At 33.7% G+C, this 17,309-nt stretch overlaps 1 protein-coding gene across 5 annotated transcripts in view; it reads left to right on the forward strand.

The window, feature by feature from the left end:
• The window catches only part of PDE3A (phosphodiesterase 3A), a 320,047-nt gene that overhangs the window by 191,309 nt on the left and 111,429 nt on the right, over positions 1–17,309 (forward strand). For 2 of the 5 annotated variants that reach the window (NM_001244683.2, NM_001378409.1), the window contains exon 1: positions 12,234–12,326. The exons of the other annotated variants lie outside the window; for them this stretch is intronic. In NM_001244683.2, the coding sequence (NP_001231612.1) occupies positions 12,282–12,326 (45 nt within the window). In that variant the 5' untranslated portion in view covers positions 12,234–12,281. Of the gene's footprint in view, positions 1–12,233; positions 12,327–17,309 lie in introns of those variants that run through there. 5 annotated transcript variants of the gene reach the window in all.

Below are 17,309 nucleotides of genomic sequence, written 5' to 3' on the forward strand. Positions count from 1 at the left end.
AAAAGTCTGAACTGAGAAGAGTGTGGGACACCTTTGAATATATGTGAATTTTTTTATAACTTCTGTATAAATGCTTTTGGATGGCAACTCTTACAGCAATTACTGTGAAGGGATAATCTGGAGAATGCTATACTTTATTGACTAGATAGGCAGAGGAAGTTAAGAGGGTCAAGAGTTTGAAACTGAGTACTCTAAGAATTAGGACCATTAACACAGAACAGTTTAGATGAAAGATGATGACTTCAGGGTTGGCAATATTAAGTGACAAGTGAAGGTGACAATTCCAAAATGAAGTTTCAGGCACATACTCGAGGCCTGATTAGAACAAAGGGTGTCAGTTTGGGAATGCTAATCATACAGGAGATAATTGAGCTCCTCCAGTAGATAGGCTTCCAGAAAAATATTAAAAGAAAAAACAGAATAAAAGTCTGATTTTTGGAAAATATGCTATAAAGACTAGAAACAAGCTGAGGAGGGAGTTAATATGAGTGTGCATGATCTTACTAGAGACCAGGTGGAGGAGAAATGATTCAGAACCAAAAGTAGTTACACCAAGGAGAGGAATGAAATCACAGACCAAGGTTCAAGAAAATTAAAAATGTAGCAGATGTCTTTGGGTTTAGTGATTAGGAGGACATTAGTGAACTTTCAAAAAACAGTTTTGAGAAAGAAGTGGTGGAAAGAAGAATATAGAAGAGAATAGTGTAAGATACCAGAAGAGTCTCTTGGAAGAGCTTTGTTTTAAAAGAAAGTTGGGATTGCAGAAAGAGGTGGCAGCAAGAGTGATTTATTTATTTACTTACTTATTTGTTTATTTTTAATGCTAAGGTGAGATGTGTGTCTTAATTACTGGCAGATGAAAAGAATTAGTGTGGAAAAGAAAACACTGAAAATTCTCAATAGTGAGCTGATTCAGGACTGAGGAAATGGTGCGGTTCAGGGAAGGGAATGTGCTTTCTTCCAGAGTGGTCCTTTTGGCACTTCTTTATGTGTTTTCCTCGCCGGAAACCCACCCCCACCCCTACCCCATACCAGCCATTTACACTATATCAGAGAAACTGGCCCTGTTTGCAAATGAAATACTGGATAAATCCACCAAAAAGTACAGATGGGTAAGCTTTGAAAAGAAAGTAGAGGCCAGGGGCAGTGGCTCACGCTTGTAATCCCGGCACTTTGGGAGGCCGAGGCAGGTGGCACCTGAGGTCAGGAGTTTGAGACCAGCCTGACCAAGATGGTGAAACCCCACTTCTACTAAAGATACAAAAATTAGCCAGGAGTGATGGCATGTGACTGTAGTCTCAGCTACTCGCAAGACTGAGACAGAATAGCTTGAGCCCCGGAGGCAGAGGCTGCAGTGAGCCAAGATTGCGCCGCTGCACTCCAGCCTGGGAGAAAGAGCGAGGCTCTGCTAAAAAAAAAAGATATTTCTAATAGAAAGAGAGAAAAGAAAAAATAAGAACAGATATTATAACATTAAAAGGTATTATGAACCGATTGACTTCAGTTTTCTTGGTAGGATTGAGGATATAATAGTGAAAAATCTTGAATGCTAGAAAACATATGGAATAAATATTGTTTTAGATATCTAAAAAAGGGAACTTGCTTGATTCCTGCCCAGTACAAAGCAGAGAGCTGTGTCAGATGTGAGTGTGCTAGCCTGCAAGATGAATTTTAACATATTTTACTTTGATTCGCAAAACATGGATATATGTCAGGTACTTTTTTTTAGCCTTTGAGGAATCAGAAATAGACAAAACGTTGGCATCTAGCAGCATCTAATTTTTTTTTTAAAGTCAACCTTAATTATTGCTAGGATAGAGTTAAGCTTCCCCTGGCTTCTCCCGGGATACTTAATAAATAAGTGATTTTCTCAAATTTCCCTTTGTATTTCAAAATTGTATCATATATGCATTATCACAGAATTTAAGATGCACCATTCATATCAAATACTTGTCCTATAGAAAAATACCTATCTCTCTTCTAGCAAATTCCAACCCTTAATTGCATATGACTTTTTAGACGCAGCAAGAATGTCATTCAAGCTGACTTATATTACTTTATTCTCAGTAATTCTCTTTCATAATTTGTCAGCTCACTCATAGCTTTCTGGCTGATTTTTCTTCTTTCTTTTTTTAAAAGTATATAACTCTCAAATAGTAGATCACCCAAATGTAGGAAAGATGCTAAATGATAAATAAACTTCCAGCAGCATGCAGAACTCCTTTGTCTGGCAGTGTTCCCAGTAATACCAAATGAAGTCAGGGGATGAAATTCTCAGAAGGCAATTACTTGTTGTTTTTTCTTCATTTTTATTTTTTATTCTTGAAGGAAAAGTTTTCCAGTGGGAAGTAAAGAGAGGCAACAGAAAATATGCTTTTTTTTTTTTTTTTTTTGGAGACGGAGTCCGGCTCCGTGCCCAGGCTGGCGTGCAGTGGTGCGATCTCAGCTCACCGCAACCTCTGCCTCCCTGGTTCAGCGATTCTCCTGCTTCAGCCTCCCAAGGAGCTGGGACCACAGGTGTGCACCACCACGCCCAGCTAATTTTTGTGTTTTTAATAGAGACAGGGTTTCACCATTTTGGCCAGCATGATTTCGATCTCCTGACCTCGTGATCCGCCTGCCTCGGCCTCCCAAAGTACTGGGATTACAGGTGTGAGCCACCGTGCCCAGCTGCTTTTTTTTTTTGTTTTTTAAATGCTTAAAAACAGTAGGAGGACATTCCAAGGGGCCAATAATTTACTTATCACTTAGTGGAGGCTCCTTGTGGAAAAGATTAGTTCAATTTGTGAATTTGTAAACATCCTAACACTTTAATATTCTTGGAACCCTCAGGCCTTTATTTACCAATAGTGAAAAACTAGCAAGTTTTTAGTTATTTAGTATATTATTGGTATTTGACTACCAGCCAGACTGTATTAGCTGGACTTAAAAGTACTTACAAGAAACAAATTTTTGTGTTGTCCATCTGGTTTTCAAATGATTGAAGTCTTTCTTTAGATAATAAAATTCTGGTTTGTATGATTCTAAATAATTCAAGTATTGTGTGTAAAATACTGGAAGATAGCTGAGTATTCCGATGGAAAAAAAGTGATTAAATGCACACTAGACTATCATCAGTATGCTTACAAATGACCCATGGCCTATTTTGGAGCAGGTCTTTAGTGGTTTAACAAGTCCTGGAGGCAACAAATTGTAAAAATTCTAGACTAAAAGCAACTACCTAGATCAGTGAGCCTTTATAGCATAATGTTAAGTCTCAAGGATGAATTTTGATGAGGAGTCATTGTGCTTTACTTTTTTGTCTGTAATTTCAAGGGAATGGATCTGATTGTAATACCTACTGAAGTTGATTAACCTAATCATTTGCCTACTAATGGCCTGATGCAGTGACAGGTCACTTCTTTTCTAGGTTAAATCATTTGTTTTTGATAAGAGAATGTGGAGAGAAATTTAAATGCCTTTTCATATTTATCTGGAGTAATGCCATATATATTTATTGAAGTTAATTCCTTTTAATACATTTTGGAAAGATGACCAGCCGTATTTCCCAGGAATTTGTTCCAAGGGATTAATGTGAGCAGATTGGGAGCTCATTATTAGTCTCTCAAATGTCCGACATGTTACCAGGGAATAATTTATGCCCTAGAGCTAGCTGCCAGTGCTACTTTTTCTACAAACATAGTGTCTTTCACTTGCATTTCTTCCTCCTTTTTCATTTTTCCATATATCAACCTAACAACTATCAATATTCGTTCAGAAATTTTTCCAATAATTGTTTAACTTTTGGCAACTCTCCAAAGACAGTTTGGTTTTGGGGTTTTTCGTTTGCTTGTTGTTTTGAGAAATTTGTTTAAATTTTGCTTATACTAACGGGGACCACACAAAATATATTTGCCTAGGGCCTCACTTAGTGTAGGGATGGCTTTGTCATTGCATGTAATAGTGACAGGAAGGGACCTAAATATCATATCTATCTTCTCCATTAGGTCTTCCTATAGATATTTAAAATTTTATCCTTTAGTCAGTTCTGCACTATTGGACAATTATTTTTTACTCTTCCCCCACTCTTTGAAATTGCTTTTATTTAGTTACTGTTTAGTATTATGTCTTTAATTTGCATTGACAAACTGCAAGACACAGTTTTTAGCAAATCTATCATAGTAGGGATATTGCTGACAATCATAGTAGGGATATTGCTGACAATGTCCACAGCACACACAGTGTCAAGAGGATGGGGAGACATTTCTCTCTGTCCTCAGAGAAGGGAAAACAGTGTTTCTCTTTAACAACTGAACCCACTAGTATATTAGTTCTCTAGCATCCCTGGTCTCTACCTAGTAGAGGCCAGAAACAACACCCTCAGTCCCCAAACTGTGATAAGAAAAATGTCTCTAGACATTGTCAAATGTTCCCTGGGAATCAAATTTGCTTCTAGATGAAAACCACTGAAATTACAGCATAATCTCATTGATAGGTGTATGGAAGATAGTAAATAAATATTTAGTGATTAATCTTGACACTTTATGTAGGAAAATGAGAACATGTTTCTTCAAGCATTTATGCTTTCAGGTTTTCAGGTTTCATCTTTAAGTCTATCGAATAGAAATTTTAAAGAACATATTCATTTCATTGTGAAGTAGTTTTCTCAGAGTGGAATTATGTCCAAGAAATCTAATGGCTAGGTTAGGGGGGAATGTACTCTTCCCACACTTACACATTTAAGTGATTCGCAGGAGGAAAGAGAGTTTGGCTCTGTCCTCACAGTAGTTTCATGGAACTTCTGTTTCAGGGAAACTGATGGATGACCTTCAGTAAGTGACTCTTTATTACAGGCCCTGGTCTCTTAAAAGAACATTGATGAACAGGAATCAAATCCACAGAAATAAAAGGGAAAATTGCCACTGGCATTTATGCTTTTATTGTTTTCCCCATGTTTATAGATTAGTAGACATGTTGTTTAATACTTATTGAATGACCCTCTTATGTTGGGGCCTGTGGACATCATTTCCATGACATGGGCACTACCTTGTGTGTGTTTAGCCAAATCACAACCTGTGGTACTTTATTTGAAACGAAACAAAGCAATCAAATAAACAACCACTGATAATAGATGTTTCTCTGCAGGGACTGCAGATAGTTTAAGCAATAGTTAATTTTACTAAGTGTACAAAAGCATATTTTGAGAGAGAAATAAAAACAAAAATAATACCTATTACTTTAAGCCACAGTTTCTGACCACTGTTGCAGTTGTGACTTTTCTTATATTCTTTCCCCCAGATAGCTTATAGTACACATTAAGAAAATTAATGCAAGTATTTTGCACGTACGTTCTTGTAAAGCAAATATACACATTCTGAAAAATTTCCAGCTCTCAAGTTTTGCCTTCCACTTGAGAGAATAACAGGAGAAAAATATGCTAACTTGATAACAGTTAATTTTATCTTTGAATTGCAATATCTGACAAAGGGAAATAATTTTTATCTCACGCTGGGTGATTTTATACCATCAGCAGCATTGAGTAAGATCTTGTTTTTTATTAATCCTGACAACATACCCTAAAAGGGAAGTTCTGTGGGTGGATTTTTGATTTTTACTTCACTTATAGATAAAACTGATAAAAAAAGATTGTGCCAAAAATAATCAGCTTCTCATAGAAGATTAAAATCTAAGACTAGGATGTATTAACTAGAACAAATAATCAGATATAGAGGTAGGTAAAGGTGATATAGGGTGGAGGAGGTTATATGGAGTAGTAAGGACAGTTAACTGGAGAGGGTGAATTGAGGCAAAGAAAACGGGAAATGTTGATCTTTTAAGATGAATATTAACATCCATTTTCATATACTACCAAAAAAACACAGGATACAGGCTTTTAGTACATTCTTGGTACAATTTTTTTTTATTTGGGGAAATTGAATGTTTTAATTTCTTATTAACACATATCCAGGCTATATGTATAAATATGTGTTTCTAATAGCATTAACATCTTATTTATGGTACAGGAATTTTTCTTTACAGCCACTCTAGGGAACAAACTAAAATACTGTTTAATAGCATTCCTCACAAGATTTTATATTCTCATCAAAGGTGCTGATTTTCTTACAAAGTTTTACCTTGGGAGAACAAAGGTGGTTTAGCAGTTATGTTGTCAACATTAAGTGATTGTCCCACGTTATGTAAAATTCAGCCATCATGTAAACATCAGTAAACCCAAAGTTACCAGGGCTGACAACTACAAAGAAAAAGCCTGGAATAATATTAGCGATATTAACTAAAATTATCTTAAAAGTCACAAAAATGAAACTTCTTGTCAGATTTGATTTTCTAGATCACAGAACTTTGTTTTTGCTTTTTGGCGGAGTTTTTTTTTCTCCTTTTTTGGTGGTGATGCATTGTGTAATAAGCGATTCTTGGAAAACTCTTAAGTGTTACAAGTTAAAGCTTATTCTTATTGGAAATCTGCAGGTTATCAAACTTGCATCAAAATAGTTTGCTCGCTGAGTTCTGTGGTGTTGTGTTTAAATACTTCTGGGTGACAATTTCCACTTGGATCTCTACAACTATTTCCATTTTAGAATTTTGTAATCATATTCTTTGTTTTCAAATCATTTTAACCCTGAATTTAGAGAAAGTTGTTTACATAGTATCAGCGATACACACTTAAAAGGGTATTTTTTTTTTTAAGTTTAGGAGGAAAAACCTCTCAGAAAATTGTGGGTGAGACAAACAGATGGAGTAGAAATCACAAAAATAAACTACATCATGATCAGTCAGGAAGATGTAGCGCAAACAGATATAAAAGCTCTAGTTCTCAAAGGACTGGGAGCAGAGGAGAGGAAAGAAGTTGTCTATCAAAGATGATGATTGGAAAATATAGAAAAGACCATCTCATGAAGCAAAAAGAACATGGCCATTGAAGCCATGTTGAAGTTAGAAACGTGCAGTGAATTTTTTTTTTGTTTGTTTGTTAGTGGGAATGAATGATGATTTGGGTGACCGACAGGTCTTAACTCCACTTTTACCACTCATTGTCCCTATTCAGGTGTACGGTGACTTAGTGCCATAACTTTGGTGACATTTCTCTTCTGGTGCCTCAAAAATATGGTAGTATATGCACAATTATTGCATTTTCAGGCCTTTGCATGAGTTTTTAAAGAGTACTCCAATTAACTATAAGTTTAGGAAATGTAATCCTAGGACAATTTAGTTTTCTTTTTCGTGGAGAAATACAGCATGACTTCAAACAAGTTTTGCTAAATAGTGAATTTGCAGCAGCCAGTTTTGTTTTATAGTGATTATGGCAACCTTGTGTATAGTGAATTTTTAATTAATATTTCTAAAATAAATGAAAACATTATAATTTATGAACTTACTTAAGAGTTTCATTTATTCAAGTAAGCTTTGCTGAACCAGTGTGTCTTGAGGAAATCTGTTAATCCATAATAAAATATAGCAGCCCTTGAGGAATTAGTGAAATTATATCTAAAGCATGAATAATAAAGCCAAGAAGCCTTTTGTTTTATTTATGCTATTCCCCTGCTTTCAGGCTTTTCTGTTTTGAAAGCGTACAGCTAAGTTGAGATTCCCAACTTTTAATGTCCATGATACCTTATTGTAGGACAGCATATTATTACTTTGACTGTAAACTGAAATTACTGGATGAGGAATAATTTGTCATGTTGTCATTACTTAAGGAGAAGATAGTATTTAAATATTGACTTTTTCATACAGGAACATGTGTTCTCATTCTCTAGGCATGTGACTACTCCCCCCCACTTCCTCCCTTTTTTCTTTTCTTTTTTTCTCTTATCACATGGAACTTTTGGGCTCAGGAGTGATTCTGTCTCATGCAGCTTAGGGATCTGAAATTTACATAAGGACTTTAATAGAAGCTTATGACACATGATATGACCAGGCTTTTCACTATGTTTTGCCATTTATTTGGCTTAAAATCAATGGAACAAACTGAACTTGGCATTACTATTTCTGTTCAAAAAGAAGAAAAATATATAATTTTACTGTTTTTTATGTTTTGGTCTTGGCACTGTGGCTTTTGTTTATGGAAAAAGACAAGAGAGGAAAAAAGCATTATTTTAACTTCACATGATAAATAATCATACCAAACTGATATTTCCTTAAAAAGTATTTGTTCGTTTTTCTTATTACAATGAGTATTGCTAGTAATTCAGTGCAAGTTTGAAATGATATACTGGTAATATCTTCTTTAAATAGCATTATAGGTTTAAGTACATCACCAACATCATAACTTTATAGAGATATTGCATTAGAATTCATCTAGTTTCTGTACTTATTCATGAATAAGAGATGCTTATGTAGATGTTATTTCTTCTTGACAAATTCTATTAGCATAAAATAAAAGCATTAATATTTACTTTTAATAAAAGTCATAACATTTAGCGTTAAGTTCCTTTATAAGTAAGTGCTTTATGGACATTATTAACTAATTTAAAACATCAACTATTTTTATCTGGAGTGAATTTCTGCCAATATTAATTAGGAAAAATAGGGATATAAATAACGTCTATGGCTTCTAAATATTTAAAAGACATTCTATGTTCGTCATTTTATGCACTGGTGGTTGTGGAACTTTTAATCAGTGGATACAGCATTGGAAGTAATATTTTTGGGAATGAACAGTGTTATACATATTATATGCATAGCTAGAAGCATAGGAGAGGCTGTCATTTGTTATACTAGATATCAAATTGTTGAACCCGTCTCTCTTTTCATGTGACACAACATTTCAAACATGCAGCACAGTATAGTGAATAATGTACAAAAGCTAGGTAGATTTAATGAATATTAAAATTTTCTGTATTTGATGCAGTATTTTTGTTGATAGCTATACGACTGCTTAGAAATAATCTCATTAAACTTTTTCATAATGTATACATTATTCCCATTAATAGATATATACTTCATTAAATTTATTTTACTATGTTTGACCTTTTGGGAATTTAGAGAATATGGATAAAGAAGTAGTTTAGAGAGCATGGAAAAGAATTAGAGGAAATGGAAAGGATTAATTTTCAAAGAGACAAGCAAAATTGGTTGATTTTAATTTTTAAAGGCTGAGTACATTGATAAATGTGGATACAAGTAATAACTATTTTAATACCACCTGGAAAAAGCTGGCATATGGCCACCACATTAATAAATATGTGTGTATAAATGGGTTATTCTAAATGAATGAGTGTTGTCATAAGCATGCCTTATATTAAAAATAAAATCATTATCTTTATGGAGATATAAAAAAAGTAAGATATTTTATTAACATTATTCTTTTCCAAATATGCTAACTTTGGTAACCACATTTAAAGTCTTTTTGAAATCATGTTTTAAAAAATCATCCCTATGATGGTCACCAGATTAACTTCTTAATATCAGCTTCATTTAGAGAAACTATGAAATTGGAAAACTGATATTATGTATTGCTTCACTGTCTTCTACAAATACTTTCTGTACATTGTATATAAATCATGTGCTTAAAAGATAAAGATGTTCTATATATTTTTATTTTAAAAGTTTATTTATTTATGAGGGAATTAGGGTTACAATAGTATGTCTCTCTCTTCTTTCATAACCTTGTAAGGAGTGTCCTGTTCGCAGCAGAATAGTTTTTGCAGAACAAAATCACAGGATAAGAGAAGAATTGTAAAACCCATTAAGGCATTACCCTATTTAATATTTTTATCATTAATTAATATGCCCCTCATAATGCACATTTACATTTTGACATCAAAAAGAAGAATATGTAGCTAATGTATGAATGATAGAATACAGATTTAGAAAGCTTTCTCATTAACCTTCAGTTAAAATACTAAACTAAGAAGATTCAAGAGGAGAAAATAAAATTTTGCACTTAAGTTTTTAATAAAACTTCAGTGTGCAAAGTACCTGCGTATTTGTTCATAAGCAAATGAAGAAACAAAAAGTAAGATTTAAGAATCTGGATTGACGTCAAGCCCAATATCATATGGCTTTTCTAACAGCAAGTGCCACTTTGGGCTTCACTAACGTATTTATGGCATACAGAACAGAATAATTAATTCAATAAATTCTGCACTGGCCAGATGACCTCTGCAGTGTTGAATTCAGTTCTGAGTACATAATTTCAAGAAGGATATTGAAAAGCTGATGCACTCACATAAACAATAAATATGTCTAGAAACAGTGTCCCAGATGAGGTGGAAGTTTAGCTTATGAAAGAGAACTTATGATGAAAAGCAAGAGAGGGAGAAAAATTGTGCTCTCTTAAGTTATCAACACGGTGGCTCACGCCTGTAATCCCAGTGCTTTGGGAGGCCAGGTGGGTGGATCACTTGAGGCCAGTGATTTGAGACCAGCTTGGCCAATATGGTGAAATGCCATCTCTACTAAAAATACAAAAAATTAACTGAATGTGATGGTGCATACCTGTAATCCCAGCTACTCGGAAGGCTGAGGCAGGAGAATCTCTTGAACCCAGGAGGTGGAGGTTGCAATGAACCAAGATCATGCCACTGCACTCCAGCCTGGGCAACAGAATGCGACGCTGTCTCAAAAAAAAAAAAAAAAAAAAAAAAAAAAAAAGGTGTAAAGGGAGTGAAATTTTTCTCTTTGTCATTCTGTAAGGTGATATTTGGACAAGTGAATAGAACACAGAGCAGTCAGATTTTGCTTAAATATAAGGAATACATTTCTAGCCATTCAAATTGATTTAAAAATAAAATAAGGCAGTGGTTTTCCTAAATATGAAATAGGTTAAATGATTGTGCATAGAGAAGTGTCTGTTAGAGTAGATGAGCCAACTTCGTAAGCATTCATTTTTTTGTTTCTGAGCAGTCATGAACAGACCAAGATATGAAAATCTTAATCTCCTAAATTATTGTGTGTCTCAGTGTACCTCAGAGAAGAGTCCTGTAACTATGCTCTTCATTTAATGGAAATTTCCAAATCTAGGCAAACCATGAGTCTTAAGCTCAGATCTAGGCTGTCTTCTGTACAGACTAGAATTGTCAGCTCCCCTTGAGGAGCTGTTTTTAAAGCAGTCATTCCTATGGACTAGCAGTATCCATTCAGTATCAGCTAGTGAACTTATTAGACGTTCTGATGGACAGTGTTTTAGATGAAACTAGAAAAGTCTTCCTTTTAAGAAGTTTCCCAGGTGATGTGACAAGTGTTCATGTTATGATAGCATCAGCTTAAATGTGTCAGTATGGATGATGATTGGATTTCGGTACTTAAAGTAATCTTTGTATTGCTTCTGCCTAAAATTCTAGAGTTAGAGCTAAATTTCTTTACTACTTCATGTTTGTTCATCCATGAATTGTGGGAGCTTATATTGTAAACTGATCTCAGTCATATATTCATTAGTATGGATGAAAGATAATGAGAATAATGTTTGATGAGGAAATGAGGGAAAATAAATGTGGGTACTGAGTACTGTGTTGAAAGACAGGGAAACAGCATTGAGGATTGATACAGGTCTCTCTTCTCACAGCCTCTGGCACCACAGCAATAATATTGTAAACTCTAAGGAGAGCCATTTACATTATAGTGTACATGAATGCTGACCCCCCTGGAGTTGTGCAGCGCACAACACTCACAACTGCATACATGATCCTTTTAAGCCCTTTACATCTACTTCTGTACTTAGAATTACTTCCAAAGCCTAAACTTGAATCCTACATTCTGATTAACTCTCAGGAAAACAAAACAAGGCCTGTTTTTTTCTGACTCCTAGCTTTTCTACCAGTATCTTACCTCTCTGTCTAAAGTAGATCAAATATCCTGTACTCTGGGTGGCATCATGTTATTTCACTCCTCTGGGCCTTTACAAGTACATTGTTTCAACTTTTAATAAATCTTAAATACAACTGAAACATTATTTGAGTCCCAGCTCTAAGCACTGTTTTCGTAACACATTTTACATCCATAATGCATTTATCATAGAACTTAGAACACTATGCAAAATTTCCCACTAGACTAAAGCTTCTAGTATCCAAGTAGTACTTCATTTGACTCTCCAATAGTGATTGCCACCCATAAGTTGTTCAGGAAATGTTGAATCAATGAATGAGAGTGGGGCATAAAATGGGAAATTTGAGCACACAGAACTTTCATTTAACCTACTTCACTATTTGACTATGGTGTGGCCTTGCTTTTAATTGGAGGATAGCTGGAGTTGCAATCAGTATTCATGAAAGCATGTTTTTAAAAAAATGAGAATCAGTCTAACAGAATCTGAACTTTAAAGAACATCTCATTACTGATTATACATGGTGACGATATTTTCCAAATCGTGGAGCTTCTACTGGGAAAAGGTATGAATAACCTTTTTGTTCTATAATGATTTTCAACAGAAATTATATTAGAGAAGGACAGTTGAAAGCCTTTTAAAAATAAATTCATAAAGTAATCCAAATCAAGTTTATGATAAACTGGCTCAGTGTATTTATTAAATGTATTTTTAGTTAATTTTTAATGAGTTATAAAAATATGACCTGGGACCAAAAAACTTCCCAGTAAAAGTTCTAGAATGATTTTTTAAGATGTTACAAAACTATCTTAGAATGTTAAACAGAATATTTTATTAACTTAGAACTGTTCACTAAACTCCCAAATGAAAACCAGATCTTTCCATCTCAGTAAAATACTAAAGTATCATGAAACTTTATAATCCTTATCTAGCACCAAATCTACATTTATCTAAAGATTGACAATGTCCATCCTTCTGCATTTTTTCCTATTTTCCTCGTGGATTAGTAGCATATTTAGAATTTTTGAGGTTTCATGCTAAAATTTATGAAGGAAAATGAAATATATAATACCCCGTCACAGTAGAAGGGAATACTAAACATCTGTTCAAAGAATAACTCGTTGAGCAGACAAGTCATTTAAATATAAAATATGCAAATTATACAAGTGATTTTAGTGCTTTGGACAAGATTATTCACTGCCACGGTCCTTCCAATTCTGAAGTTCGTGCATGTATTTTATGTTTTACTTAGAATAAGTTATTTTTGTAAATGTATGAAATACCAAATCAGAAATGCCAATATATAATATCTTCCCCCCATACTGTACTGATTGGTATTCATCAGTAACTACCAGTCAAATGACTAGTCTACATTTCTAAACACACTGAAATTTCCAAACTTGGGAGTTGGTTCATTTGAGAGTGAAGTGCTTAACTGGTGATACTTGTGTCTTTTTAAAAACTGACTTTGATGGTAAGTTTTTCGTATTTTATAAGTAATTTTTCATTGCTTCCTGTAACAAAACATAAAAGATTTAAAATAAAATACTTAAAATATACCTTGAATTAATTAAAGGAAAAAGAAAGCAACATTAATTGAATATGTATTTTTGCCATATATTGTGCTAAGTACTTTTTTCACAGAATTTATTTTAATCTACAAAATAATTTCTGAGAATAGATAATTTATTTACTCAGTTAAGGTTTTGGGGCATCTCCTGTGTGTAGGCACAGTGCTGGTGGTGAAGCAGTTCCATGGGAAACAGGACAGATGAACTTTTGGTTCTCATGAAGCTCGTATTCTAGAATTCTAGATATTATTATTATACCTTTACCTATGAAGAGACAGACTTGAATAGTTGTTATGACTTGCTGAAGTCACTGAGCTAGAAAGAGGTAAGACTGTGTTCAAATGCAAGACTAAGATGCAAGACTGTTTTCAAATGCAGGACAAACGCAAGAGGTAAGACTGTTCTAATTTGAAAAAGCCACTTTCGTCTCTTCTGTGCTATATTCCCTTCCCCAACATATATTTAAGATGTGATTTATCATGAAGATATCCAAACACTTTACCATATAAGGTCAAAATTCAGTTTTTTTATACTGATGCTAATTATGATCATTTAAAATAAATTCATTTTTATTTAATTATTTGCTAAACCTGAATTTTAATTAGAAACATAATCCCTATATTGTGATAGAGATTATAAATTGAGTCTCAGAAATTTAAATAACTACAAGGTCAATCTTCGAGTAGTGGGTTTTCCAAACAGTCTTGTAAATGTGCAGGAAAACAAAAACATTTCAGAATTGCTTTTCTGACAAAAAGAAAAAATGGAGATTTCAGCCCACGGAAATATAGCCCTGCATTTTCTGCTTCTAAGCCTGCCTTATGTAAATTAGATTTATTATGTCCAGTACATGAAGAAATTCCATGCCAAACCTATATAGCTCTTTAAGCTTTCTACTTCACCACATTTGCAGCGGGACTGTTAAGTAAGTTAGTTTATTTGGAGTAGAAATTACCTCTGAATATGAACTTTGGAAGACTTCTAAAAGTGATATAACCTCTCATTTAACCAGCACGAGGTCCATGGGGGTAAAATTAACTATACCTGGTCTTCTTAAAGCTGCACATCTGTGAAAGCAAAAGGTTATAATTAAGTTTTTCTGGAATTTCATGAAATTACACATTTTAAAGTATAGTCCTGCAGGACTTCACATTAACTGAAATCAAAGACAGCCTGGTACAGTGGTGAAGAGAATGATCTTTGAAATAATAAAAATTCCAAGTCCACCACTGAATGTATACGTGACCTTAATGAGATATTTAACCTTTGGAAGTAATGCTTTTTCATCTAGAAAGTGAGTCAGTATCTACTTTGAAAGTTTGTTCTGTGGATACAATACGTTGGAAGACATTAAATTAAAAAGTATGTGGAATAAACACTCTTATTTAGATGATAGCTTTCATCATTATCATTATCATCACCATCACCATCAACATCATCATCTTGCTCCCACCACCACCAGCTCCACCTGTATATCATGCTATACAAGTATGCTCAGCATGATGAGCCCAGGCCTTCTTTTCTCTGATCCTTCAGAAAATGACTTACATGATGCCCTTGGACCATAGAGGATCAACTTACAAGGTCACATTTGTCTCACTGTCCCTAATATAGCAATATGTAGCATCTTCTAATCTTTTTCTCCCACAAACGGCAAGATATCTCAATATCATCCTACAGTAAAGGGAGATTATACTGCCTCATAATCTATTCTACCAAAATGATTGTTAGGAGGATCCCACCATTACACAGATTTTTTGTTCATACTTTAGAGATGGCATCGAAACCAAGCCCCCAAATGGAAATATCTTCCTTCCAAGTTTCTATAAATGCCATTGGACATACTATTTATTGAGTTAACTTTGACTACATGAGTAAGACAAATTATTTGTCTTAAGTTGGAATGCCTGTTTTTCAAGTAATTTATGAGGAGGAATATAATATTATCCACAAAGTATTCCTTAGGAATTTTCAGTGGGAATAGTAATTTTGATGTCCTGTATCTTATTTTTATGAAAGAAATTAAGACAAAGTTGTTCTTACTAAAATTGGATTTACTTTTTAATCGACATTCTTATTAGTTAGCATCAAACAAAATGTTACTTAAGTAAATTTCAGCTTACCTAATTTATCTTATTTAACTCTTTCATTATGGCTAATATAGTATTTGGAATTAAGCTATAAAATTAATTAAGATTAAGCTGTAAGAAAAAGTTCTGACTAAAATTAGGAGGGAAAAATAAAGCTCTGATTAAATAAACAATTACAGAAAAATAAATTTTAACTCTAAGATAAATTTGCCTTGCAACTTGGTTTTGATGTACAATTTGTGTATTAGCTGATTAGGTAACTTCAAAAGTCATCAGCTGTCTACTGGTTACAATACAGGGAACATTTGGGAATCTAACCTATTAACACATAATTTAATAGGTAACACATATTACTCTCTAAGATTGTTTGGGATCATCTACAGACTTTCATCCAAGTGAAAAAGAGTTCTACTTCATTCTGAGTTAGGTCACAAGGTCCTGTTAATTTTAGCTGTTTATAAATTTTCACTGAGAAGCTGTTCTTTCATCCTCCTATTTTTTTTTAAGCTCAAAGTTCTTGATTTAATCTGATAAATGAGCTCAAGTTACAGATTCTAATCTGATAATTTTTAGTTTCTTATGCACCTGATTGAAATAAGGGTCTTTTTTAAAAAAATGTAGCACAAAACCCAATGCAAAACAACTAAGAAATTTGGTCAATATTTGTATATGTACACAAAGAACTTACACCTAAAACCTATTGCTATATCTTAATTTGAACTTTTTAAAAAATTGATTAATTTTTGTGGGCGCATAGTAAGTGTATATGTTTATAGGGTACATGAAATATTTTGATATAGGTATGCAATTCGTAACAGGCACATTATGGAAAATGAGGTATCCATCCCCTCAAGCATTTATCCTTTGAGTTAAAAATAATCCAATTATACTCTTTTAGTTATTTTTAAATGTAGAATTATTAATTTGCATTTTTATTATACTAATCTATAAAATGAATACTATTGAGAGAATTGCTTAAATTTTAGCATTACCAGTCTTTAAGTTTTCTAAATATGGTTTTGGAGTGAAATATTATCTTACCTTTCCAAAGCAAGGAATTTGCAAACAAGATTAGTCTCAAGTATTAATTGAAGTATGAGTACTATTTCATATGTTACAATTTTTATATTATCTATTGAATGTTAGATTGGCAGGAAATAGCAAAATTGACTAAAATAGAGATGTGAACATCCTGAAATAAAGACAGTACTATATACAACTAATTAAAAACAGAGGGATGAGTAGTTTGGCAGAAGCATTAAGATATCTGGAAAATGAAATAAGAATTGCCTTGGTCTTACATGATGTGAAAGGACTATATCCACTACTAGCAATAAACAGAAAAGAGAAACTGACTTTCAGCATTAAGCATTCACTGGTGGAAATGAAGTTAGACAGTTTTCATTTTAAGTGTGCTCAATTTACGGATATTCACGGAAATATAATTTGTCAAGTAGAACAATCTTCTTGTCAGTTACAGAAAAGATATTGATAATGAGAATGTTATTTATCTTCCCTTAGCCATGTGCTATTATGGGCTCAGATTGGCTTCTCGTTTTTTAAATGGAATGTGTCCAGTTGACAGAATACAAGATTCAGCAACCTAGAGAGTAACATGGAATTTTACAAAGAAATAAAAGGATAAGTTGGAAACATGAAGTTTTTTTTTTTTAAACTAAACCAGGTGAGGTCCCCCAAATACAATGAAGAGATTGAGGAGTTAGCACCCTCCAATACATCACAGGTGCAGCAAATGCAATACCACTGTATTAGAAGTACTTTAGAGGGGGAAAATATTAAATCTTCCCATGGTAACAAGTAGAAACTGGAATAAAGACTACTCAGATTATACATGAACCACCCCCACCCCCAAACAAGGAATTACAG

The sequence above is a fragment of the Homo sapiens genome, chromosome 12 (assembly GCF_000001405.40).
Source record: "Homo sapiens chromosome 12, GRCh38.p14 Primary Assembly".
NCBI lineage: Eukaryota > Metazoa > Chordata > Mammalia > Primates > Hominidae > Homo > Homo sapiens.